Source organism: Homo sapiens, chromosome 22 (genome assembly GCF_000001405.40).
Source record: "Homo sapiens chromosome 22, GRCh38.p14 Primary Assembly".
Taxonomy (NCBI): domain Eukaryota; kingdom Metazoa; phylum Chordata; class Mammalia; order Primates; family Hominidae; genus Homo; species Homo sapiens.
The window spans coordinates 23,059,727-23,084,950 of NC_000022.11; the positions used below are offsets into that span (position 1 = coordinate 23,059,727).

General features: G+C 56.5%; 2 protein-coding genes across 12 annotated transcripts in view, besides 7 other annotated features; one reads left to right on the top strand and one right to left on the bottom strand.

Moving 5' to 3' along the window:
* RSPH14 (radial spoke head 14 homolog) overlaps nt 1-25,224 on the bottom strand; it is a 121,315-nt gene that overhangs the window by 312 nt on the left and 95,779 nt on the right. For 5 of the 9 annotated variants that reach the window (XM_017028774.2, XM_011530150.2, XM_011530152.3 and 2 more), the window contains 3 exons: nt 4,176-4,407; nt 2,083-2,219; nt 154-286 (listed from right to left, as the gene is read on the bottom strand). In XM_017028774.2, the coding sequence (XP_016884263.1) occupies nt 154-286; nt 2,083-2,219; nt 4,176-4,407 (502 nt within the window). Of the gene's footprint in view, nt 1-136; nt 287-2,082; nt 2,220-4,175; nt 4,408-10,043; nt 10,355-25,224 lie in introns of those variants that run through there. The other 4 variants (XM_011530155.3, XM_011530149.3, XM_047441334.1 and 1 more) reach the window with 4 other exon arrangements.
* Nucleotides 6,433-6,640: a silencer, noted in NCBI's record as "fragment chr22:23408338-23408545 (GRCh37/hg19 assembly coordinates)". NCBI's record gives its function as "represses an EF-1alpha promoter that drives an FKBP-Casp9 reporter gene in an ReSE screen in K562 erythroleukemia cells {active_cell/tissue: K562}" and the evidence as "EXISTENCE:reporter gene assay evidence [ECO:0000049][PMID:32094911]".
* Nucleotides 10,468-10,607: a silencer, noted in NCBI's record as "silent region_13530". NCBI's record gives its function as "represses an Ori minimal core promoter by ATAC-STARR-seq in GM12878 lymphoblastoid cells {active_cell/tissue: GM12878}" and the evidence as "EXISTENCE:reporter gene assay evidence [ECO:0000049][PMID:35858748]".
* Nucleotides 10,748-10,887: a silencer, noted in NCBI's record as "silent region_13531". NCBI's record gives its function as "represses an Ori minimal core promoter by ATAC-STARR-seq in GM12878 lymphoblastoid cells {active_cell/tissue: GM12878}" and the evidence as "EXISTENCE:reporter gene assay evidence [ECO:0000049][PMID:35858748]".
* The window catches only part of GNAZ (G protein subunit alpha z), a 54,514-nt gene continuing 40,082 nt past the window's right edge, over nt 10,793-25,224 (top strand). For all 3 annotated transcript variants that reach the window (NM_002073.4, XM_047441346.1, XM_017028786.3), the window contains exon 1: nt 10,793-10,844. The gene's annotated coding sequence lies outside the window, so the exon portion shown is untranslated. The remainder of the gene's footprint in view (nt 10,845-25,224) is intronic.
* Nucleotides 11,494-12,374: an enhancer, noted in NCBI's record as "H3K27ac-H3K4me1 hESC enhancer chr22:23413406-23414286 (GRCh37/hg19 assembly coordinates)". NCBI's record gives its function as "activates a minimal SCP1, AML or CMV promoter by ChIP-STARR-seq in naive and primed H9 embryonic stem cells {active_cell/tissue: H9 hESC(naive and primed)}" and the evidence as "EXISTENCE:reporter gene assay evidence [ECO:0000049][PMID:30033119]".
* Nucleotides 12,375-13,256: an enhancer, noted in NCBI's record as "H3K4me1 hESC enhancer chr22:23414287-23415168 (GRCh37/hg19 assembly coordinates)". NCBI's record gives its function as "activates a minimal SCP1, AML or CMV promoter by ChIP-STARR-seq in primed H9 embryonic stem cells {active_cell/tissue: H9 hESC(primed)}" and the evidence as "EXISTENCE:reporter gene assay evidence [ECO:0000049][PMID:30033119]".
* Nucleotides 17,624-18,560: an enhancer, noted in NCBI's record as "H3K27ac-H3K4me1 hESC enhancer chr22:23419536-23420472 (GRCh37/hg19 assembly coordinates)". NCBI's record gives its function as "activates a minimal SCP1, AML or CMV promoter by ChIP-STARR-seq in naive and primed H9 embryonic stem cells {active_cell/tissue: H9 hESC(naive and primed)}" and the evidence as "EXISTENCE:reporter gene assay evidence [ECO:0000049][PMID:30033119]".
* Nucleotides 18,561-19,496: an enhancer, noted in NCBI's record as "H3K27ac-H3K4me1 hESC enhancer chr22:23420473-23421408 (GRCh37/hg19 assembly coordinates)". NCBI's record gives its function as "activates a minimal SCP1, AML or CMV promoter by ChIP-STARR-seq in naive H9 embryonic stem cells {active_cell/tissue: H9 hESC(naive)}" and the evidence as "EXISTENCE:reporter gene assay evidence [ECO:0000049][PMID:30033119]".

The window sequence follows — 25,224 nt, forward strand, 5'->3', positions numbered from 1 at the left end:
CACCAACACAAGGCGTTCCAAACAGCCCAAGGGGCCCTCTTCTCACCCCCTCTCACCCTAGCCCTCTCCTGACCCTCCTCCTTGTGCAGTCTCAAGGGGTTTATGCCTGGTTTATGCCCCACCAACATGCCCTCACCCTCAGGGCTCTTGCACCTTCGCTGAGTCCGGCCTGGGCCTGGCCTCTTCATCTCCTGCCTTTCCGGCCTCAACTGGCTCCTCTCCATCCACCCTCGTATCCTGCCCAGGAGTTCAAGACCAGCCTGGGCAACATAATGAGATTCCATCTCTACAAAAATTTAAAAATTATCCAGATGTAGTGACAGGTGCCTACAGTCCCAGCTACTCAGGAGACTGAGCGGGGAGGATCACTAGAGCCTGGGAGTTTGAGGCTGCAGTGATCGTGACATCGTACTCTAGCCTGGGTGACACACTGAGACACTGGCTCTTTAAAAAAAGTAAGCCCAGCTGGGCGCGGTGGCTCACGCCTGTAATCCCAGCACTTTGGGAGGCCGAGGCTGGTGGATCACGAGGTCAGGAGATTGTGACCATCCTGGCTAACACAGTGAAACCCCGTCTCTATTAAAAATACAAAAAATTAGCCGGGCATGGTGGCGGGCGCCTGTAGTCCCAGCTACTCAGGAGGCTGAGGCAGGAGAATGCGTGAACCTGGGAGGCGGAGCTTGCAGTGAGCCAAGATGGTGCCACTGCACTCCAGCCTGGGCGACAGAGCGAGACTCCATCTCAAAAAAAAAAAAAAAGTAAACCCAATAGTTCATATATGTTGCCAATATTTCTTGAGCACCTACTCTGCACAAAACACACATGGTTCCTGAGAGATGCCCTCCTCAACCATTCGCTGCCCCTTTCTGCTGTCCTTGCCGGCCCTATGCTCCTGCAGTGCCCAGTGGACTCTCCCCTTTGCTGGTGGAACCTCTCAGCCTGGGCCCTGCCAACTCCCATTGTCCTTGGGATTGATCCCAAGCCCTTCCCAGAGGCGACTTGTCCCCTGTGTTTGCCCCACCCATGCTGGGCTTCTCCTCCACATCCCTCATCACTGCCTCCCAGGGCCTGGCACGTGGCAGGGGCTTCAGGACCCTCAGCTGGAGTGCCAGCTTGGGAATAAGTGGCCTCATCTCCCTGGGTCTCAGCCTCTTGTGTCTCGAGCCCCGTGGCCCTCCAAGCACTCCTACAGAAAGCCTGGACCGAGAAGGACACTGGGCTGAGGCTGCCCCAAGATAAACACGCAGGGGGAGCCCCTGCCACCGTGCAGTCAGCATCCTGACTACACCAGTAAAAGGAGGGGCTGTGGACTCCAAGAAAGCCCCAACCTCTCCCATCTGCATACCTCAAGCAGCATTAGGGTCAGGTGTGCAGGGCCTGGGAGGACCTGTCTTTGGGAGGCTGATTGCAAATCCAAGCCCAGATGGTCCTCCATGGAACTCAAAGGAAGCACAGGGCCCCAGGCTGGTGGGTGTGTAGGGGCCAGAGGGAAAGTCAAATGCTTTCAGGGGTCCTGGGAGTGCCACGCCCCAGTCTGCCAGGTGTGGAAACAGCCCAGGGTTCTTCCATGAGCCCAGGGTTGGGTGACTTAGAGGGGAAGCCTGACTGGCTGGGAGTCCCAAGGTAGGGGGCTCGGGGGAGATAATTCTGAATTTGCCCCCTCCTCCAGTTTAAGAAAAATAATTAGGATGAATAAACACCATAGAGTCAAGGGCTCCAGGGTTTGCTTAGACCTCAGGGTAACAGAATCATGGATGGCAAACTAATCAACCCTTGAGTCACAGCTCACAAGGGGCCTGGGTGGGAGGCGGGAATTCCAGGCCCAGGGAACAGACTGGTGCGAAGGCACAGAGGTCCTAATGTGAGTGACTGGTGAGGGGCCACTGTGCTGGGGAGAAGAGGGAGGGCTGGGCCTTGGACCCAACCTTGAAAGGACATCAGTGATAGGCCAAGGGGAGGTTTTTTTTTTTTTTGCAAAGTGTGGAGTTTGGGGGACGATACCCAGCCCCTGAGTACAGAAAGCTCATCACGGCTGCTAGCCTGCTAGGGTCTCCCTCCCTGCGGCACCCCCCACCGCCTCACCTTCAGTGATCACTGTGGCGAACATCAGGGCACCGGCAGCGTTAGACTTCACATGCTCCACTGGGTCTTTCAGCAGATGGACCAGGATGGGGATGACGTCAAAATGACACACCTGTTTCTTGCCCTCTCGAGATATGCTGGGGCAGAGAGGGAACAGAGAGGGGCTCTGCTTGGAAGGGAGAAGAGGCGCAAGGCCCAGGAGTGCCCCAGGGAGACACAAAAGAAATAATTGTGTGGGGGCTACCCCAGGTAGTCCCAGGACTGGTCCCCATGATCCAGGACTGGTCATGGCAGGGATGCTGGGCTGCAGAGGAGCATTGGTGTGAACGCGGCCCACTGCCAGTGAAGACCACGGGGTGACAGGGCCTCACTCTGAGCCAGCACACAGAAAAGAAATAGGGCATGTTCTCCGTGGCCCCAAAATGGGGAACAGCAGGACCCAGGGGTGTCAACCACAGGGAGACCTGTTTTGACTTTGCCTAAGAGCCAGAGCTGACAGTGATGGGCCAAGCTGCCCCCAACAGCAGCAGCTGCCGGGCACTGGGCAACTGCAGCTAAGGACTCAGACCAGGTAACTTTTAGGCCACTTACTCTGGCACTGAATGAAGTTGTGGAAATGAGGATGATGAACTCCCCAAAAGTTTCCTGAGAGAGGGTCAATTCTGTCCCCTAAAAAGAAAGGGCTCCCTGGGCCAGGAAACACTGTTCACAAGCCCCACAGGAATGCCACAGTGCAAAGACCCCTGTGTCACTTAGTTTAATCAACCTTTCCCAAATGTAGCCACCAAAGAACCCTCATTTTTGTAGAGCTCTTAATGACCTCAAAGACACAGGTGTTCCCTGGGAACACAGATTGGGAAATGAGGTTGGCCAGCCACTAGCTGTGACACTGGGAGCCTTTCAGGGCAGTGGGCCTCAACCCCGAAGCCCATGATCAAAGTTGCAGAGTCCTGGGCCCCACATGCAGGGATTCCCTGATTCGTTCACACAGCAAGACACTGAGACAAGAGCGATGCAGGGATTCCCCGATTTGTTCACAAGAGTGGGGACAAGAGCAGGGTTTCTCCAGCTCAGTGTTCTTTAGGGCCAGATAATTCTCAACTGGGAGCCAAAGCTCCCCCGCTGCAAACCCTGGGTTTAGGGCAGCAAACAGAGGAAAGCCCTGTCCTCAGGAGCTCCCCTCGGGGATGACACACAAAGTAACGGCAGGGATGGTGGTCACAGTGGACATGGGAGGACAGGGGACAGCAGGGAGGTTACAGTTTCAGAGAGAGAGAGCTCTCTCCTGGAAAGCCACTCTCATGGTCCCACAGAAAGGGGACCTCTGAGCAGACCTAAGAATGATGGGGCTGGGACAGGGCCCAGGAATCTGCATTTTCACAAACCTCCCGGTGGCTTGGGTCCGGGGCCCCACTTGCAGAAATACTGGCCTGAGCCTCTAGTGAGACTCTCAGAAGAGAAGCCAGGACTTAGGGAAGGCAAGAGGGTCTCCACTAAAGAGACATAGCCACAGCTAAGGCAGAGACTCTGGGGTTCGGTGACCAGCCTGTCCTCGTGAAAAGGGGCCCAGTGTGAGAACACACACCGCACCCTGCCCCCTGCAGCTTTGAGGCTTTGGGCTCCCTCAGTTTCCAGGCCAGGATGTAGACTGTGATCCTGTGTGACCTGGTGTGAGACACAAGACACTGCCTCCTTTTCTCACCTGTGAAGGCAGACATCACCTCCCTGGAGGGTCGCCTAAATGTGAGGTTTGTAGACAACGCCTGGCACACAGGAGGCACTCAGTGACCGCTGGGTGTCATGATCATCACCAGTGCATCTCCTGTGCTGGCCTTCCTCATGGGGAGGGGGTGCACAATCATCTGGCTTTGTCCAGGCTGAGGGGTTTCCTGGGATACAGTACACTCCCAGGCCAACGGGATGGTGGTCACCCTAGGGGAGAAGGTCATCCTCTGTCCCAGCTCCCTCCTACCCCTGGGCACAAGCAGGCAAGGGGAAGCAGGCCCAGGGTGGCCGCCCTTGAGCTCTGGACCAGTCCAGCTCAGGTGCCTTCTCCCAGCCTTGGTAGAAACCCAGCCTAGGCCAGGCCTCACCTGACATTAAGGAGCGCACGGGCGGCCTTGCTGCGGATGTTCTGGTTGGCGCTGAGGAGCTTCTGCTTCAGGACAAGCACCACATTGCTGCCCAGGGCCTCGGTGGCATCCTCCTGCAGGCAGAGGACCAGTGTGTCCAGGATGAACTCCTGGAACTCCTCCTCCTCCACCTCCACCTGCAGCTTCCATACCAGTGAGGAAATCAGACCTTTGCTGATGATCTCTTGGGCCCCTACAAGGCAGGAAAGGGCACTGAGGGCGGGCTGGCCACACACCCACCCACCCATGCCAGTTGGCCTGCAGGGCTCAAGGAGGGTCTTGCAGAACCAGTGGGTGGGTTTGACAAAAGGACTTGCAAGTGCCACCCCCACACACACGTCCCGCCTGGCCAGGGGCCTGAGCGACCAGCAGGCAGCTGCAGTGACAGCCATGTCAGGGGCTAAGGGCGGAGGCTCAGAGAACCCAGGAAGGACCAGTCTTTTGTCGCCTGTGTCTCAGGGGGCATCTACCATAGCAAGCGCACAGCAGCTGGAGAGGCAATAAGCCACCCCTCGGAGAGCTGACAGCTCACTCCTGCAGGGCCCAGGCACACCAGGAGACCTCCACTCTTCCCTCCCCCTGCCCCAGAGTTGGGGAGCCAGCCAAGCCCCCGCTTCCCATCCACCAAAATATTTCAAAGCTGCTGGAGACCCCACACTGGTCTGACCAGCCCTGGAGAAGAGCTTGGTTTTGACTCTGAGACAGAAGACCTAGAGTGTAGGCCAGTGTCACACTCACCAAAAAGAGCTGTGCCCCAACTAAAGGTGACGGGAAGCCATAGGCTCTCGTCTTCAAGGGACCTGGGGCTCTGTGGGAAGGGGGCTCCACATGGCACAGCTGGGGTGCAGGTACTGGGAGAAGCACAATGAGGCAAGGCTCCCCCATAAACAGGCCCCACCTGGCTCCTCCCAGCTCCCTTCCCTCCTGAGGAATGTCAGCATGTGATTGCCTAGAGAACCCAGCACGAGTGGCATCCTGAGCCCAGGACGGTGGGCAGAACAGCCCTCCTGAGTCACTGAGATGAGAAGCACAGGGAATGTGCACAGTGCCCTTCCCTACGGCACGCAGCTGCCCTCGCCACTGCCCTGCAGCCCACTGCCTACTGCAAAGCCATCTACAGCCCCCAGGGAGGTGGCCACCAGAAGACACCTCTTTCTTCCGCCCTCCCCAGCTAAACCCTCTAATTTACTCTAGAGAGAGAAATAAACAGGTTGATTAGCCTAAAGGTCTCCAAGTGCCAATTAGTACCAGGGATTTCCTCTTTGAAGACATCACCCCAACCTTCTTCCCCCACTCCCTGAGGACATCAAACAGCAGGTGCCCAGGGTGATGGGGTAGAAAGGCGGAGCAGGGTGCTGAGTGGCTCTTACCGCCCCCCACCATGTCTCATAATGTCCAGCAGCTCTCCATGCCCCATCCCCCAGGTCCTCTGGTGTCAGGTGGCTTCCAGTGCCCCTGGCCAGCTTCTCACTGTGGTATCAGATGGAGCAGCTAGATCTGCCCTGTTTGTTCTCAGGGCTCTGACCACCCAGGAAAAGTGGGTTCCTGTTGCTTCTACTGTGTTGGCCTTTTTTATTTAATATGCACAGATTGCAAAAAAAAAAAAAAAAAAAAAAAAAAAAGCCTAGGTCTCATTTAAAACATATCCTTTCCAATCTGTGTGACCTTGGACAAGTTACTTAACCTCTCTGAGTCTAGTTTCCTTATCACTGAAACGGGCCTACCTGGCAGGGGGTTGTGGATGAAAACGTGTTCCACGTGCTGTGGATTTCTTCATCCATGTAAGGGTCTGTCCCTGTGTGCCCAGAACATCTGGGCCTAGGGTGGCAAGAGTCTCCTGAATTCCACCAACACTGAGTCCCAGCTACAAGCAAGGGCCTGCTGGAGGCTGAGGAGTAGGATACAAGACAAACGCTGCACAGCCCAAGCCCTGCAGATCCCATCAGTGCAGAAACCCCCCAACCCTACCACCCCTCCCGAGGCCTGATCCTCTCTCTCTCGCAGCTCCCTGCTTTGCCCATACCACACACCTGGCCTCCTGCTCCCGCTCTGCTTCCCCTCAGGTTCTGCCCACGGTCTCCCTACCCACTCCTGGCTATAGATTCAACTCAGTGGTGACCTGGACGGCCCTCTTCCAGCTCACAGCAGGGAGGCGACAATTTGACCTTCTGTTAATTTTGCTGGCAGATGGAAGGACAAAGTTCTGGGATGGGGACACTTGAGCAAAGACCTGGGGGTAAGGAAGTTGTTAATTTTCAAATCAGGGCTAGATTGTAGCCTCGTCTCACCTATCTGAGCTTCCCAGGAAATCCCTGGGACAGGTGTCATTGCTGAGTCAGGATGGGCACAAGTTAGGGGAGGAATATAGAAGGAGTTGAGGTCAGAAAAGTCAACATTCAAGGTGATCACCTCCATTACCCACCTCTCCTTGGTGAGGAAACTGAGGCCCAGAGAGGCAACTTGAATACCTAAGGTCACACAGCAGATGGTGGCAAAGCCAGGCGGGACCCTCAGCCCCTTGGGTTTTGTTTCTCAGGCATTTGTCTTGTACTTCTGCTCCTAGAAATGCTTAGCACAGGGACCGGGGTTCATTTTGAGACAGAGGGAGAAGATTAAAAATAAAACGCGTGCCGGGTGTGCCTTTCTGCTCGTTCACTTTGCTTCTTTTCAGCTAAAAGAAGAGTCTCGGGCCTGGCTATTTATAACTAACCCAGATCTGCGATGGCTTGCTCAAGTGGGGGTGGGGCACACAGACCCCAGGGAAACAATCGGGGAAATCCACCCAACTGGGCGGCAGCCTGAGCGTCCGCTGGGGGTGGGGGGTGGTTGCAGAAGAGGTAGGACAGGTGGGGCACAGAGAATCAGCCAGATGGGGTGGCACCAGAGCAGGCCAGGCTCTGGGCCATCCATGGTTTAGAGACAAGCAACATATGCCCACCCCACCCCCGGGAAGTGGGAAAACTAGTGGAATAGTCAGCTGGGGACAGGTCACTACAGAACAGGTTGACATGTGTGTAGACCAGGAATTCCAGGGTCCTAGGGGCTCTGGAGGTGCACAAAGGGAGGCCCCGGGGAAGCTGGTTCTCATGGATGTGGAGGAGAGCCCAGAACAGCAGGGCTCAAATGTATGTGTTTGTGGGGAGTCCCCGATCTGGCCTGGCTGATATGTAGGGGCTAGGATGGGTTCAGTGGTTGATGAGCCAAAGAGATCCAATGGGATTGAGGGGTCACGGATGTCCATGGTGTGGAGCCCCAGTGGTGGAGTCTGGGTCATTTTCTTTGTGGTGGGGCAGGGCGGGTGCTGACACCATGTTGAGGGGCCACTCCTCAGCCAGCTGTGCCTGCTGGGTTGGGGAGGTGCTGAGTGGGCTCAGTCACCACCATGGCCCCCTTCCTCTGGCTACAGCAAAGCCCCAGCTGTTGTCTCCCAGCCAATGAGGGCTCAGGACAGAGCACCAGCACCCAGGTTCTGGTCGCAGCCACACCCTTTCCTGTTAGGGGACTGCACATCCACACATGGCATCTGGGGCCCACCTTGCCGCAGGTGACCCACCTGTCCAGCTTTAGCCTTGCATGGCCCTGTGCCCTGAACTCCTGGCCCACTGGGCCTGCCTTTGCTCCAAGGGGTGCTTCTCTGTCCTCAGCTTTCTCGGCTTCCAGGTAGCTGGGAGCATGGTTAACAGCTTCTTCCTTTACCACATGCTCTCTTCCCGTGCCTCTGGTACCCTCCATTCTCTGGTTCCTGACCACCTCCCCAACTGCTCCTCCATCTTTTTGGTAAGCACCATCTCTTCCTCCAGTGGTCCCCACCCTCTCCCCTTCTCTCATCTCCCTGGGTCCTGATAATGCCCCGCCACTGTCTCCTAACATGCTCTTGGTCTCCCTGCCATCTCACAGCCACAGCAGACCGTACACTGAACTCAGCCTCACAGACTGACTTCTGTGCTCACTCCCACTTCCTCTGGACTGACTAACTGATGTTTTTGTTATTTTATTATGTCCAGTAGGACAACTCACATTGTCTGTGGGACCACGCCTACTGTAAACAGGCAATTAAAAACTTCTCCTCCTCCTTCTCAAATTTAAAAGACTAATGTTAAAACTCTCGAGCAGTTCTTAGGCCAACGTCCCTGATCCTACTGCCCCAAGCTGGCATCTGTGCATGGGCAACGACCCTGGCCCCAGCCACACTGGTCTTCTCTGGGTTCTTCCTGGCCTCGTGCTCCTTCATGTCCTGCACCGTCCCCGCCTTGGAACTCACTTCCCTCCCACCCTATGTCACTGGCCACCTCCACGCCTGCTATGGCCTCATTCCAAGCATCTCTTCCTTTGGGAAGCTGGCCCAATGCCCAATGCTCCCCCACTCCACATGCCCCCAGAGCCCCAGTGGGTCTCCTCAGATAGCCTCACATGACTGTAAGGCCCAATCGTTGTTTGCTTTCTGCCCCTGCCCTACAGGCAGAGGGTCTGCCAGAAAAGGGCCGGTCTGAATCCTAGAACTGTGCCTACAACTATACCCTGGTGGAGGAGGCTATCTGTAAGTGACTGCTGCATGAATACAATATTGGTTTGATGCCAGGTGAGATGTCCCTCTCTTACTTTGAGGTCAAGTCAGGGAGGTGTCAGCCAGCCCCAGTGGACCCCTCCGCAGGCTAGCCTCTGCTCTGGACCACTGGAAAGGGCCATCTCACTGTTGCATGTGGGCTTACCTCTGCAAACAATTCAACTCTGACCCCCAGACTCTGCAGTGGAAACAGCCTCTGGCTATCCCAAGACATGCTAATATGCATTTCCTATAAACATTAACCCTCAGAGCCACCCTCTGACCACAGTCTGTTACATTCCCTTTTGACAGAAGAGGAAACAGAGGCTCAGCCAGGTAGCACAGCTGCCGGTCTCTGTGTGGTCCTCCTGGCAAGAGGTCCAGCCTGACACAGCCTGGTGGTGTGGAAGGCAAGCACAAAGGGTAGCTAGCCCCTCAGCCATTGGCTGAATTCCCTTGGTCCTCACTGGACACCTCCAGTGAGCACTAAGTTCGCCTCCATGATGCCCATAACAAATATACGTCCTGTTCCTGACAGTTGAGGCAGCACCCTCACAGGTGGCCCATGACCCTGCAGGTACGTAACGCAATGGTCTCCATCTCACAGAAGAGGAAACATTCCTAGGGAGGTTATGGGATGATGCTGAGATGCCACAGTGTCCAGCTGGCAAAGCCAGGCACATGCCCCTGCCCCTCCACCACAGAGCTATGATGGAGAGACCGCTCCATGGACCTCTGCCATGGTCAGGTCCAGGGCTGCTGCTCAAAGAATGGCATGATCCACACCTTACAAAGGTGTGAGGTGATAAGGAACGCGTTAGCTGGGAAGGCATTTGCACTTTGTCAGGGATGCTCTAGGATACACAAAGCTTCAGATTTACAAAGATGGAGAAGAGAGACAGGAGCATTCATGTCTTGGCCCTCTGGCTTGAGAGTCTTTTAAGCATGGAACTGAGGGACTCCTGGCCCTGAGGTCCACAGATAGGCTTTGAAATTGAAAACAGAATTTTGCAGCCTGGGTTCAGCTGCGTTTTGCTGAGGGTCTGATGCTTTCCACCAGCTTCCCAAAAGCGCCAATCAGTGGCCTTAACTGAACTGGCTCTCTCACGCTTGTCTGGGCTGGGGGCCAGCTCCTCGGTCCTTCTCCCTTCCTTCCCTCCCAAGGCCACCCTTCCGTGTGCCAGGATTGCCAGGGACGCCAAAGAGCCCCTAGACACTGGGCGGTGGCGGCGGGGGGCGGCGGCAGAGATGACTAATGCTCCCTCCCATCGCTGCACAAACCTCACCGGTGTAAATCGTTAGGGTTTGCATAGGCCTTTCACACGTTCTGAAGGATTGGTGAGACAATCCAGGAAAGCAGGTGCCACTAGCCCCACTTTGCAAACAGAAAGGCTGAGAGAGGTCAGTCGGTTGCCCAAGGACGTAGAGCTCACAAGAGGCCGAACTGGGTTTGAACCCGAGTGGAGAGAAGGCGAGCCGGGACTGGCTGCAGTAAAGAGGGCCAGGACCATGGCTGGGCTCAGGCTTGGTTTCCCGGGCTGCCAGAGGTGGCCCCTGGGGCTCGGCTACCAGGCCTCAGCGCAGCGGAGTCGGTGGAACGCCGGCGCGGGGAGCTCTTGCGGGACTGCGGCGCGCGCGGAGCTGCGACCCCGCCCCTGTCCGTCCCCATTGGGCTACTGGCCCGTCCGTCAGCTGCCTGTGCCCAATGGACAGAGGGCCGGCGCTCGTGGCGGGGCGGAGGTGCCCGGCGCGTGGTGCCCGGCGGGCGCGCGGCACCCCCCCGCCCGCGGTTGGCCTGGCAACGGGCTGCGCTCGCGGCTCCGCCCCCTGCCGGCGGCGGCGCGGCGCGGGGCGGGCGGACCCGCGGACTGGCGGCGGGCGGCGGGCGGCGGGCGGCGCGGGAGGGCGGGCGGAGGGAACCAGGCCGGCCGGAGCGTGTGCGCCGCCCGCGGTCCGGTCACGTCCCCGCGTGGGCGCCGCTGCCCGCGTCGTACGGAACGAGGGCGCCGCGGCCCCGTGCTCGCCGCCCCGCCCCGCCCCGCCCTGCCCGGAGCAGCTCGGCAGATGCTCTGTGCTGCGGCCCGGAGGTGAGTGAGCCGACCCGCGGCCGGCCGCGCGCCGCTGAGCCTCAGGGGTCGGGGGCACGGCCGGGGCATCCACCTTGCCCCCACTTGGGACTCTTCCCAGGCCTTTGTGCCCCGGATCCGCCAGGACGCAGCGTCAGGGATGCCCCTCAGGGGTGGGGGACACCAAGGGCGGGGACGCCTGCGAGGTGGGCAGGGGGCGGCCTCTGGTCGGGCAGGTGCTGGGGGAGGGATGCGCCGCCAAGCCGATGACCCCGCGGGAGGGGGCGGTTGAGGACCCGGGAGGGTGGACAGAGGGCGCCGGGGATGCCGCGCGGGGCCGCCGGGCGCCCCCAAGCAGCGGCTGATGCGGAGCCCGGGCGGGCCAGGCGAGCTGCGGGAGCGGCGCTGAGGCGGGTCTCCCTAGGGGGAGGATCAGGGAGGGGCGGCCGGAGCCGATGCAGGGCCTTGCCTGAAACCGAGGAGAGGGCCCCAGAGGCCTGGGCCCGAGGACCTGGGCCCGCAGACGGACAGCTAGCAGTTCTCGGTCACTGCTCTTGCAGCGAGCAGGTTCCTCACAGGCATTTAGAGGAAGAGATGAGTATCGACCTGCTGCGATTGTAATACGTTCCCGGCTCAATATTTTTTCCCTTAAAAGGCGGTGGGGGTGTTTGGGGGAGGGGAGTGAGGGCCTCAGGGCTGGCGCTCCGTATCCTGCGGGCGATCCGAGGGGGCTCTGCCTTTAGGGCGGTGCTGAGCCTTCCTGGGTGATGATGGCAGGATTCGGCCTAGGCCGAGAATGGGGGCTCCTGTTAACTGAGACAAGAGGATGATGCCAAGCGAGACCAGCGTTCCGCGTAGTCCGTGTTGGGGTGGAGGGACCCGCCTGGTAGAGAGGTCTGTCTTGCTTGGGGAGACAGCTGAGCCCCTGACCGGCTCCTTTCTGCCCAAGTGATTTCCCTGCCCTGGGGATTGAGCTCTCTGGAGAAGGCTCCTTGGCCAAATTCAATTAAGCAAATATTTATTGAGTGGTCACTCCCCCAGAGCTTGACGCTGGGGTGCACCGGGTGGGAGTGGACTGGGCCTGCCCTCCCAGGACTGATTGACCACCGCATAGGGGAAAACGTCTCTACTCGACCAACCCCGCTTGAGTGCAGGTGCAGGGGCCTCGGGAGGGACCTCAGAGTGGTGTCCTGGGCTGGGGGGTCAGGTGAGCTCGTGGGCAACATGACATTTGAACTGGAGCTTGAAGGACATGGGCACAGCTAAGCTGGGCATTGTGGGCAGAGAGGAGAGAATAGACCGAGGCACTTGGGCAGTTAGGTCTGATGGGAGCACTTAGCATGCCTGGGGAGTAGGAGGAGGTATGGCGGGAAAGGCCGGTGGGGGCTGCACGGGGCTGAGGGAGCTGGGAAGTGGAATGACCCCACTGCTGGTTAACTGTGGCTATGGTGGAGACCACGGCTTCCTCATCTGTAAAAGCGAAGCAGTTCCATGACCCCATGAGCTGGGGTGGGCCTGGAGAAGAGCTAGCTTTAAAGACTGGGGAAGGCTCCTTGCAGTCTGAGACTGTGCTTCCAGGCACTTCTCCCTCGGGCACAGCCAGGGCACTGGGTAACCACCCAGGCAACCCCCTTGTTAGGATTGAGTTGCCTGTTTCGGGGATGATGCTTAGCTAGTGACTCTGTGCCTCTGGGATGTGGATGTTTGAGAGCAGTAATCGTGGCAGCCTGGGAGCATCCATCTACGGGGTGCAGTGGGGGTGTGGATGGCCTGGCGGTGCTTGGATAAAATATGCGCCTTGAGCAAGCCTCATTCTCTAGGAATGAGGAGATGCTGGCATCTGGTTTAAAAGTCTTCCTGTGTGTTCCTCTAACTGACGTTGATTTTCTGAGACAGGAGGTGAATAAGACATAATTTCTCCCCCTCGGAAATTGGTGTCACTTTCCCCCCTAAGTCAGCTCCCTCATTTCTGGGGATGTTTTTGCTCTCCCTCTGAAGGGGCTGTTTGTTACTCATCTTTGTAGTGTGCCTACCCTCCCCACCCAACACACACTTGGCTTTGGCCAAGGCCCAGGTTGATGCAGCGAGAACAGGGCCTGCCCTCGTGGGGTGTGCAGTCTGTGCTGAGCAGGGTGAGCTGCTGTGCTCTGTGCCTGTCGCCTGGACTGTTGCAGGGACCTGGCATGTGACTGTGGGTTTGGGACACAGGGAATGGATTCTTCCCTCTGTCCCCAGCCTCTCAGTCCTTTTGTTTTCTAGAATCTCAGGAGGAACCTCAGAGACCTGGAGGCCCCACCAGAGTGGCCAGAACCTGGTGCAGGAGTATGGGTGGGGTCTCAGTCTGGCCCTCAGGAGCTTCTAGAACAATTCCAGGAATTTGCAGGTAACTGGATTGACTTCACAAGGGCTGCCCAGGGCCCCCGCAGAGAGGCCAGTGGGACAGGAATGCTGAATATAGCAATTCAGGAATGCTGAATTTAGTCATCTTGTGTGTGAACACATGTGTGCGGCTTCCTCCCCTGGAGGCAAGGAAGGCAGCCCTGTGCTGTCTGTCCCACGCTAGCCTCAGAATACTTAAGACGGTGTGTGGTGGCAAAGGCACTCTCACTGCTGCTGACCATGGCAGGTGCACGGGCACACTGGAGGAGGCAGGTCAGCATGCTGCTCTCCCGAACCCTCCAGCAAGGAAACCTGGGGTAGCCAAGCCTCTGAGCACCTGTGAGCACTGTGCTTGGCTGGAAGGAGCACAAAGCGAAATGAACAGAGGCGTCAGTGCAGATGCCAAGGGTCAGCCCCAGGCAGAATCCCAGAGCAGAGGCTATGCTGCGGCCTGGGCAGAATGAAGAGGGACGTGGGAGCACCCAGACTGTTGTGGCTCCGGGGTGGTGAGGTGAGCATTCCAGTCTAGGTGGCAGAAGACCTGGAGTCAGGTCCTGGTCCCACCATCCTAGGTCCAGCCCCTTTTTCTCTGAACCTCATTATCCTCATCCATACCCAAAGCCAAGAGTGCCCTGCCCTGTCCCCACACCAGCCCCTGCCACACATTTTGGCCCTTTCGTGCGAACACCGCCAGGGGAGGCGCTTCACAGGATTGAACCAACAGGGACCGCTTGACAGATCCTAGAGCACATAGGAGGAGACATCAGCCCTCTGGACTGAGCCGGAGGAGCAGAACCTCACGCGATTCATCCATTCATTTGTTCAGCTAACATTTACCAGCGCCTGCTGCATGCCAGGCACTGTGCCAGGTGCAGGGGTACAGCAGGGACGTAGCATCCACTCACAGTGCTCACACCAGACGGGCAGGGGTTGACAGTAACACATGTTACTAAGTGCTGCACTGTGGAGAACACTAAAGCAGAAGGTGGGGGACACGAGATGGGGGTGGGGGACTGACACAGTGCCATGCAGAAGTGCTGGGTGAGTGGTGTGGCTGAGCAGGGGAGAGACAGCAGGTGCAAAGGCGCTGAGCAGACACTCCCTGGCCCCTGGAGGCCCCACCAGAGTGGCTGGAACCTGGTGCAGGAGTGTGGGTGGGGTGTCAGGGCCAGGTCCTGCAGGACTCAGTGGGCCCCAATGAGGCAGGAAGACCTTGGCAGGGTTGGAGCAGAGAAGAGACTGGAGCTGCCCTCCCAGGAGGAGCTAATCTACACTTTGAAAAGATCTCTCTGCTGAGGTGGGAAAATAGGCTAGGGTGGGGTAAGGCTGGGGGCCATGAGGGGCTACTGCAACATCCCAGGCAGAGAGGCTGCTGACCCAGGGGTGGGAGCTCTGGAGGCCCTGAGAAATGCAGGTGGGAGATTTGTTTTTTTAAAGCTGCAGCTTTTAAAGGACAGCTGCAGTTTTGGTCTGAACCAGTAGAAAGATGGAGCTGGTATTGGCTGAGAAGCAAGATACAGAAAAACCCATTCTGGAGAGGTGGGGAATTAGGAGGTGGGTCTGAGACCTGGAGAGCCATTGATGGGCACATGTGGCCAGAGGGAGAGCAAGGCTGGAGGTGGCAACCTGGAGCCCCTGGCACTGAGGTGTGTGGCAGGCCGGGGACCACGTGAGGTCACTTAGGGATCAAGGGTAGGTAGGATCAGAAGAGGCTGAGCTGGGCTCCTGGGCCTCCACTGTGGGGAGGATGAGTTGAGAAGCATCGAGAAAGAGAGATTGAGGATTGACGGGCAAGTGAGGTGGAAGCACAGTCACAGTGGCGCCTCGGGAGGCTGGAGAAGAGCGGGTCCCAGAGAGCAGGTCCCCTGTGTCAAGCAGGCAGGGCATGCCCAGGGACTGAGCAATGCAGGCACAGCTGGCCACATGATTTTGGGGGCCCCCATTTGAAAATTATTAAGGGCCTGACATGATGGCGCACACCTGTAATCCTATACTATGGGAGACTGAGGTAGGAGGATCACTTGAAGTCAGGAGTTTGAGACCAGCCTGAGCAACATGTAAGAGCCTGTCTCTACAAAAGTAAAACTAAAATTATGCATTCCAGAACAGCAACAGCAGAGCATTAAAACTGTATGGATGCCCAAGTGAGTGCCCAGGAAGCTGGCTGGTCACAGGGACCTCAAGGATAATATTGGGGATGTAGTGGCCCCTGTGGAGAAGGAAGGCCTGGAGGGTGGGCCCGCAACCTGCCTGCTGCCCAGTCCCCACAGCATTTCTCCTCCCTTCCCTGAGTGGGCGGGTGGGTTGCGTTGGACTTTCAGGGCCGCTGGAGTCAGTCACACCCAGCCTGTGAGCTTCACCTTGGCACCATGGCCCAGGGAACCCAAAGTGAAAACTGCAGCAGGCAATTGCCTGCTGCAATTCTTCACTAAATGTCTTGCTTCTTGCCCCTTGGTCTGTGGACCCTTGGGCAAGAGGCAGCAGGAGGCACATCTTGAGGTTGAGGTTTAGATGGTCCCATCAGCAGGCCCTGGACCTACATGGCCACAGCTTCACACAGCAATGGCTTCTTTGCGTTCATCTCTTTTCCAAAGGAAGCTGCCACATCACAGAGTTTTGAGTTATTTGCTTCTAAATTAAGGTATAACTCTCTTTTAGAGACGTCCCTGGAGAATCCATCAAAAAGTGCTAAGAAGCGAGACTGTTAAAAGCCACAGTGCAGGGAGGGGCCTTACACATAGTGTCAAGCCCGGGGGTGTTCCTTCTAGCAGCCTCCAACCAGAAACACACCCCGTCCCCGAGGGCTCAGCCAGGCCTCTCATGGCCATGGGGGACCGTGGTTGTGGTTAGAGCAAACCTTTCAGGAGACCCTTGGCCCCTGGGATGGAGAGCTGCCAGGACAGAGGTCCCTTTGTGAGGTCTGCCCCTGTGAGTCACGGAGGCCAAGGTCCTTTGTGAGGTCTGCCCCTGTGAGGTCTGCTCCTTTGTGAGGTCTGCCCCTGTGAGTCATGGAGGCCAAGGTCCTCTGAGGTGTGGAGAGTGGACCTCATGTGCCCAGTGCCTTAGTAGGTCTGGGCAGCCCCGCATCTGGGCAGCATGGTCCCTCTCACCCTGGTTGGTCATAGGAAGGGTGGCTGAGGAGGAGGCTGTGCTGGAGGCTGGCATGGCAGTGAGGGCTGGCTCTTAGGCTGTGGCCCTGCTCCAGACAGGGCTGGTGGGGCCTCTATGTAGAACAGCGCCATGTTCCTGACCATGTTTCCTATGCCCTTTCCTGCTGCTATTTTTTTCCCCTTAGCACTCGCCACAGCGTGACCTGCTCCCTATTTGATTCATTCATCGTATGTGTTTGTGTAAGCTCCATGAGGGCAGGGACGTTGCGGAGTCACCATTGAGAATCGCCACCCAGGGAGTCGCTGTGGAGGGACTGAATATTCGCAGACAGTCATGCCTCAGTGGCCCTGTCCAGCCCCTTTTGCCCTAGGGCTGAGCTGTGTGCTCGTGCGCTGCAGAACCCCTGCTCCAGCTCAACCCTCTGCTCCTAAGAGGTTGTACCTTTGGGTCCCCAGAGATGTGTCTCTGGGCCTCAGGTTTGGCCACCAAACACAAACCACCCTCAGGTGGATGCTACCAGCTGGGCCCCGTCAGGCCCAACTGTGGGTTACTCTCAAGCCAGAGGCAGGTGGACAGATGCCTCGGGCTGACGCCGGGCCACTCAGTGATGCAATGTGACTCAGTGGGGCCTTTGTCAGACACGGGGATTCACAGAGTGATGACCTTCAGAGGCATGTCTATGGAAAACTGTCCTAAGGGGATGAGCCAAGACCCTGAAGGTAGTAAAGGAACATGATGATGGTAGAGTGGCCTTTCCAGGTGGCCCCTGTGCCCCAAGATCAAGGAGTGGCCTCTCAGGCCAGTAGAGGAGCTCAGGGCAGGGGAAGGCACCAGGCCTGGGTAGAAGTCCAGCTCTGCCTGTGATGGTGACCCTGCGAATGCTTTCCACTCTCTGGGCCTTCCTTGCCTTTGAGTTGGAAGCTCTGGGCTGGGTCAAGTGTACAGATAGTTTCCTTCCTTATCTCAACTCTGGAGTGACCGTCCAAAGCATGCTGTGCTGAAGAGGATTCTAAGGCTGTGCTGCAGCCCAGAGGGAAAGAGTCATGGTCGATTAGTGATGTCTGCAGCGGGCACGGGAGGCAGGATTTAGATGAGCTTGCCAGTGACTGGTGAACCTCACCACTGTACCCCCTCCTATCTAGCAGCTTTAACCCACCCTATCTCTCCTTACATGCCCCTTCCTTAGTGACACTGATGCTAACCCCTTATTGGGAAGGACTGGCCTCCGTCTTCCTGAGTCCCATGAGCAGCTCAGGTCATTGCTTGCTGACTGTCTCTTCTCTCATTTGATGCCTCACTCCCTGTAGTGACCTCAGGGTCCAACCCCATGCTTCGTTCATGGCAGCCTCTTTCTGTACACTGAAGAATGAATAAGTGAATGAGTGGTAGAGACTCAACCACTCTACAAGGCCGGGAGCCTCCTCTTGGATGTACACCTGATGTTGATCTCTGTTCCAGCAAGGAGCCCCTAGAAGCCTTCTTGGAATTGGGAGGCTGGATGGCCACGGAAACAAGGTGCTAAACCGTGTGGTTTCAGCTCCAGGTGTTGCAGGAGTGGGGTCAGCAAGGGAGGAGGGGGCAAGGTGACTAAGGAGGGCTGAGGCATGTAAAGTACCAGGCTCTGTGTTTGTGGGGCCCGGTGGTCCTGTCTGACCTTGGCTATGGAGCAGCTAATCAGGCTTCCCCAGAGGCAAAGCTGGGAAAACCTTCCAAGCTGCCAAGAGGGGCCTTCTGAAGACCCTTCTGACTATGGGTGGGAGAACTTGGCACCTACAGCCTTCACCCTGACCCCAGCAGGCCCTGACCCCCTGTGAACTGGTGGTACCTCACCCCTACTCCTCTTGCACCCCCACACTAGTGGCCCTACCCCTAACTGTGGCCAGGCCAGGGGAGGAGCAACTCCACCATGAGGGCTTGGCCCTCATGCCTCCTCCTGCCCAGCTCTGCATGGCATGTCCCTCTGGCCTTAGCTGCCCCAGCTGCATGTGGCCTCAGGCCAGCCCCACCCAGCCCTCTTGCTTCCTGTGGCCCTGTAGAGTGGCTACCAGGACCCCTGCTGGTGAGGGCGGGTGCGGGTGGCCTGTCTCCGAGCTGGGCTTTCCTCCAGCATGGTCACCCCCTCACCCGCTCAGTTACCTCTGATATGCTGTGCAAACATATTTCTCGATGAAATGCTGGGAAGAAAAATAATTAGAGTGTTGCCTCCATTATCCAATTTCGGATTAATCAAACTCTCTTTGTCCTCGGCCAAAATCTATTCATTTCCCTTAAACACTGGGCCAGTGCCAGGCATTGATTTCCTCTATGATAACACCACGCACGCAAGCACAGCCATGCCCAGCCTTGCCCCACCCCGTGGCTGGGACACAGAGGCACTGGTGGGGCTGCCCTTGTCCCCCCAACACTGCCCACCTCCTCCAAGGAGTCTCCTGGCCACACTGACACCCCCATCTCTGTCGTGGCTCCTGGAGTGCTTGGCCTCAGTCTCCAGTGTGTTTGTCTTGCCACGCTGGCTGTTCTGGGGCTCTCCCTCCTCCCAGGATGGTGTGGAATGGATAGAGGAGGTGTGGAGGGTGTGGCCACTGCGGTCCCCAGGGACCACAGGGAATGGGCTGCAGCCCCAGGCTCTGGGTGGGCCAGGGTTTGGGGGATTATCCCCATCACTGGCACAGGAAGAAGGCCAAGGGTGAGGGCCAGGGCTTCTAAGGGGGCTGAGGGGCCATGCAATGTATGTGGGGTGGGAGCACACTTGCAGGGGTAGCAACAGAAGCCCAGCCCCAAAGGGCTTACAAGATGAGGGGACATCCTGGCTCCCGGGCCTGAGGGCTTAGTCGTGGGGCAGCATCAGGATCGGCCAAGTCCAGGTGGGCGGGGGCTGTGCGTCTACCCGTGTCCACCCAGGGAAGGCCACGGGCCTTTCCAGAAGACCTCCCAGAAGTCCCCAACTATCCCCTCCGTGAGCCACGTTGACCGATTCCTCACTCAGTCACTACGAGGGCCTGGGATTGATTTATTGGCACCTGCTTGGTGCTAGGTCCATGTGGGCACATGGGATACATCAATGAACAAACAGACCAACAGTCCCTGCCCTATGGCACAGTGGGAAAGAGGTGGGCGATAAACACTCTAAGTAAATTATACAGTGTGCTAGAAAGGGACCATGCTTGGGGCAAGGCAGCACACGTGGTGTGGCTGTGTGCGAATATGGGGGTCATTTTCCATCGTAAATAGGATGGGCAGGGAGGCCTCCTAAGGAAGGGACATCTGAGCCATTGGATGGGGAGAGGGCGCGGAAGCGAAGTCCACTTGGCTTTCTGGACAAAGAGTTTTCCAGGAGGAAGGAACAGCCAGTGCACAGGCCCTGAGTTAAGAGTGAGGGATGGTGCTAGAGAGGCAGCTAGAGGCAGCATGGCAGGAGTGGGGGAGGGGGAGCATGGGCGTGGGAGTCAGAGAGGCCAGGCATTGCACAGCCCTGGTGCCCTGGCTGGACTTTGACTCGGGGTCTGCCCATGTCAAGCAAGCGTCGGGAGCAAACATGAGAAGGTTTCAAGCACAAGTGAGACATACTCTGCCTCATTTTTACAAGGATGCCCCTGGCTGCTGGTGGAGCACAGGGCACAGGGGGCTGGAGACAGCAAGACCAGAGAAGTCATACTGCTGCAAAACAGATGAGAGGCTGGGGCTGGCTAGCGGGAGTGAGTGGTAGAATTCTGGACAGTCAGGGCAATTAAGGGTTCCCCTGAGGCTGGCTGGGTCCAGCCACAACCTGTGGTGCCAGCCTCAGTTCTCAAGGAAAGGGACGCAGGGAAGGCGTGCTGGGCATGTAGTGGACACCACTCATGCCCCTAGGTCCCCAAGGTAGGGGATGGGATTGTGGGATGCCACACATGGAGGCAGAGGGCAGGAGGTTGCAGGGCCTCAAAGACCCAGAAGGTGAAATCAGATTCCCCACTCAAGTGAGGGTTTGATGGAGTCAGCAGTTTCCTTCCCTGGGGAAACTGGGGAGCCAGGAGCCTGGGGCTACGGCTCTCTCCAAGGCAGCAACCTCTTTGATTTGGCTCTTAATGAAGGCCCCACTTCTTCTCTGCTGTCATGGCCACCCTCTCCTCCATAGGTGGAACCTTTGCATATTGATTTATTTATTTACTCCTGGCCCAGAGAAATATCTGGCTTGATTTCCTCCTGAGTCAGTGTTCCTCAGGCGACACTATCACCCTTTGTCTGGTCAGCCGTGGTGGCTGTGGGCCAAAAGACAGGACAGGTGGCTGAGGGTGTCCAGAGCCAGGACAGCACAGGGTTACAGGGAAGGGCCTCCCTGTTCATCTCATCTCCCCGGTCATCTCATCTCCCCTTCCTTTAGCAGAAGGACACTGGGAGGCCCAGCCGGGGCATAGCCTGGGGTTGTCTGTAGGATGGGGACACTGTGTTCACTAACCGTAGTCCTTCCTCCCATCTGCTCGGACTATGGCTTCAGGATAGGCAGAGAGCTTTGAGGAGGCAAAGAAAGGAGGACCTGTTTCTAAGGTGAGACCCGTTGCGGATCTGCAGGTGCAAGGCCCATCAGGCAGGTTGTGGGGAGAGTGTAGAGAAGCCAACCCAGTGGCCTGGGCCCTGGTTACTGTGGAGTGGCTGCAAAGAGCCCACAAACACGGAGTCACATGTCCTCAAGCCATGAATCAGTGATGTCTTTCATGTGCGTATGCTCTCATTTTTCAAACACTGCAAAAGCTATTGTGATAAATGAAATGCAGAGTCATTTACAAGCCTTGAGGAAATCTTGGCGCGCAAAAACCCTTTTTACCTCTGTCATCAGCACTCACTGGATTAATGGGTGCTCTCCCTTCTCACTGTAAAGCATGCTGGCTTGTGTCAGTACAGGGTTGGCCCTCCAGGGCAGCGGGCACTCTCTAGAACCCCCTTGCCCTTCCACATGTATCCCTTTGAGTCCGTTGTGATTGTCCCAAACCTATTTGTGCCAGTTGTACTCATTGTAATCACAGCCTGGAATACTGTGTAAACTGGTGGGCTGTGACTGTATAGAGGGCTTCTGTGGAAATGAAAGTGGTTGCTTTGGAAAAGCCTCAGTAAAAGCCGTGGTTAGGTTTGGTGTGGGCAAGCCAACCACGAGTTTGGGGACAAGGAGTATAACAGCCTAAAGTTCAGATTCCGGGTCCTTTGCCACCTCACTTGTGTTGGAAAAAGTAAACGAGATGTCACGCAAGGTGTGCTGTGGTTTAAGCAAGAAGTGGCATAACCCCAGAACCGGAAACTCTGATTTAGGAAGAGTTTGTGTCTCTGAAAATTGACAGATATATGAATGTATGTTTATCTGAGTTAAGTGAAAATAAAGTACACGTGTGTCATTTCTTAGGTCTTCCTGCTTTAATTCACTTTTCAGTAGATCAGCCAGCCAGCAGTCTCAGGTTTGATTGCAACTTTTAGCCATCAACAGTTATTAGAAATATATGTTATAGGCCAATCAGGTTATAGGCCAATATGTTATAGGCCAATCAGGTTCATGCCTGTAATCCCAGCACTTTGGGAAGGAGACGCAGGTGGATCATTTGAGGTCAGGAGTTTGAGACCAATGTGGCCAACATGGCAAAACCCTGTCTCTACTAAAAATACAAAAATTAGCCAGCCATGGTGGTGGACACCTGTAATCCCAGCTACTTGGGAGGCTGAGGCAGGAGAATCACTTGAACCCAGCAGATGGAAGTTGCAGTGAGCCGAGATCGTGCCACTGCATTCCAGCCTGGGCAACAGAGTGAGATTCCATCTCAAAAAAAAAAAAAAAAAAAAAAGGCCAGGCGCAGTGGCTCACGCCTGTAATCCCAGCACTTTGGGGGGCCGAGGCGGGCGGATCACGAGGTCAGGAGATCGAGACCATCCTGGCTAACACAGTGAAACCTCATCTCTACTAAAAATACAAAAAATTAGCTGGGTGTGGTGGCGGGCACCTGTAGTCCTAGCTACTTGGGAGGCTGAGGCAGGAGAATGGCATGAACCCAGGACGCGGAGCTTGCAGTGAGCCGAGATCGTGCCGCTGCACTCCAGCCTGGGCGACAGAGCAAGACTCCGCCTCAAAAAAAAAACAAAAAAAAAAAACACCCCAGAAATATATGTGTAATAATGTCGGAATCTGCAGGTTGGTCTTTTTCGTTGTGTTTTTTTGTTTTTGTTTGTTTGTTTATTTGTTTTGAGTCTCGCCCTGTTGACCAGGCTGGAGTGTAATGGCGCGATCTCGGCTCACTGCAACCTCCGCCTCCCAGGTTCAAGCTCCTGTCTCAGCCTCGAAAGTAGCTGGGATTACAGGCGCACACCACCACACCTGGCTATTTTTTTTTTTTTTTTTTGTATCTTTAGTAGAGACAGGGTTTCACCATGTTGGCCAGGCTGGTCTTGAACTGACTTCGTGATCCACCTGCCTCAGCCTCCCAAAGTGCTGGGATTACAGGCATGAGCCACCGCGCCCGGCCTCGTTGTGTTTTTTTGTTTATTTTTGTTTTGCATGTGAAGGATCATTCCATAATACTTGGAAAGGTTGTAAACCAGGAGTCTACAACAGAGCCAAGGCCACAGGGGCCAAGTATGAGGAGGAGGCTGCTTGATGACACTGCAGAACTCCCACGGCAGGCCAGCCTGGAAGCCCCTCTTTCCCCAGGACTAGGATTCACAAGGCCCTTGGAGCCCCAGCCCACCCAAGCGGAAGAGTCCAGGGACAACCTGCAGGGAAGTGTGAGGTTTTCTAGCATAAGAGGACATGGGGGATGGGCCTGAGGACCAGGAGATGCTGGTTTCACAGAGCTGAGGCTAGCTGGGCTCTCAGCCTGGGGTGTGCAGAGTCCACAGTGTCTTCCCCCCAAACCTTGCCCCCAGAAACTCCCATTTTAATTCAATAAGGTGTGAAGTGGTCAAGATCATATTAAGGTGGGGCGTGAGCTGGCTGGGATGGGAAAGGGCACGTGGGAGACTGGGAGACCAGGCAGGAGGCTCCAGGGAAGTTGGGAGAGTGAAGGAGGAGGGTGGGCAGGAGAAGTTTCAGGAAGAGGACTCTCCACACAGACAGAAGGAACTGGAAACCATACCAAAGGAGGGGTCCTTAGGGGCTAGCCTGCAGCTCGGAGAGGGGCAGGTGTGATGCACATTTGAGAAATATTTGTGGAAAGCAGAAGCAAGAGGGCTGTGGGAGGCCTGGGGTATTGGGGGTAGTAGGGGAGGGTAGACCCAGGCAGAGGGGTCCCAGGGGAATCCAGTAGAGCTGGCCCACAGAGTCCCAGGGATATCACGGGCTCCAGGAGGAGGCCATGGGTCAGCAGCGACCTCAGGTCCTGAGGCCTGTGGACTGCAGGGTGACCCCTTTGCAGGCTGCTGGGAAAGGTCATTTTAGGTAATGCTCTCAAAAGGGAGTGCTGGGGAAGCTTCCGAGCTCTGTACAAATATTTTTTGGTGTTCCTCCATCTATCCATCCATCTGTTCTGCGAATCTTTCACAGAGCACCTGCTTCGAGGGAAGCAGAGCTGGTGCTTGGGGGAGGGAGGGTAGAGCAGGAGCCCAGACCAACCTGCGGTGGGTACCCTGGGGAAACCACACACAAGCCATTGGAGGCGAAGGTGGGAGGAGGGGATATGGGCCAGATGTGGTCAGGGAAGGTGCCTGCAGGAGGAGCCGGCAGCCCTGAGGCTGAAAAAGGACCAGTTTGTGGGGCATCCCTTCCATTTCTTCCCCAGGGGAAGTCCAGTCCCACTGCCGAACCAGCGGCACACCACACCTGTTCAAGGTCGCGCGGGCCAGGTGGCAGGCCCAGACTGAGTCCACTGGGGTTCCAGGGATCCTGATGCTGCAGTAGTCAGGGGTCCTCATCAGAGAAGGAGGTTCTCCCTGGGCTTCACAGGGCTGTGTTTTCAGCCAGGTGGGGTGGAACAGGGCACTGTGAGTGTGGTGGGTGGGAGATGCAGCCAGAGAGGCAGGAACCTTGCTTCTTGTGGAGTTAACAAGGAGGGAGGGGTGAGCTATGCAGGCGATCTTTCCCCAGAGGGCAGTTCCTGGGAGGGTAGCTTGTCCCTACCCATGTCCAGTGTCACTGGCATTAAGGCAAGTGGGGTTTTTATCTTCCCCGGAAGATGTGGCTTTTTAGTCCAAAAATACAAGCAGTCCCCAACTTAGGATGGTTTGACTTGCAGTTTTTCAGGTTATGGTGCAAAAGCAATAAACATTGAGTAGAAGCCTTACTTTGAGTACTCATACAACCATTCATTCTGATTCTCCCTGTCAGTACGGTATTCAGTAAATTCCACAAGATACGGGTTAGATTCTTTTGTCTACCTGCAGGCTAATGTAAGTGTTCTGAGCACATTTAAGGTAGGCTAGGCTAAGCTGTGAGGTTCAGCAGGTTGGGGGAAGTCAACACATTTTCAACTTAGGATGGGTTTATCAGGACATAACCCCATCCTAAGTCAAGGAGCATCTGTAGGTGTTGTATCAAAAGCCTTAAACCATCAGGCCTTCTTGCAGACAGCCACACTGGCCAGGATGAAGCAGCATGGGGAAGCCTTGAGCACTGGATGTGAACATATCCTTGCTCATTTTTGCCTTCATCCCCACCTGGTCCTGAGCACCTGCGCTTCGTGGCCCATGATGCAATGCAGCCTTGAGAGCTGCAGCCCCGCCCTTCACTACCCCAAGGCCCAGTGGGGAGCTGGACAGAGAGCCATTCAGTGGGGATGCCACAGACAGTGTCGTGCTGGGAAGGCAGGGAAGTCAGGTCCCTGCTCTCCCAGATGAGTGTGGGCGTGGACACCAACCCTGGCTCACTTGCCAGAGGACGCACTGTCTGCGGTTTTGTGGTCACCCTACCATCGCATGTCCAGGTGACATCGCACGTCCAGGTGCCATTGCACACTGGAGGTTA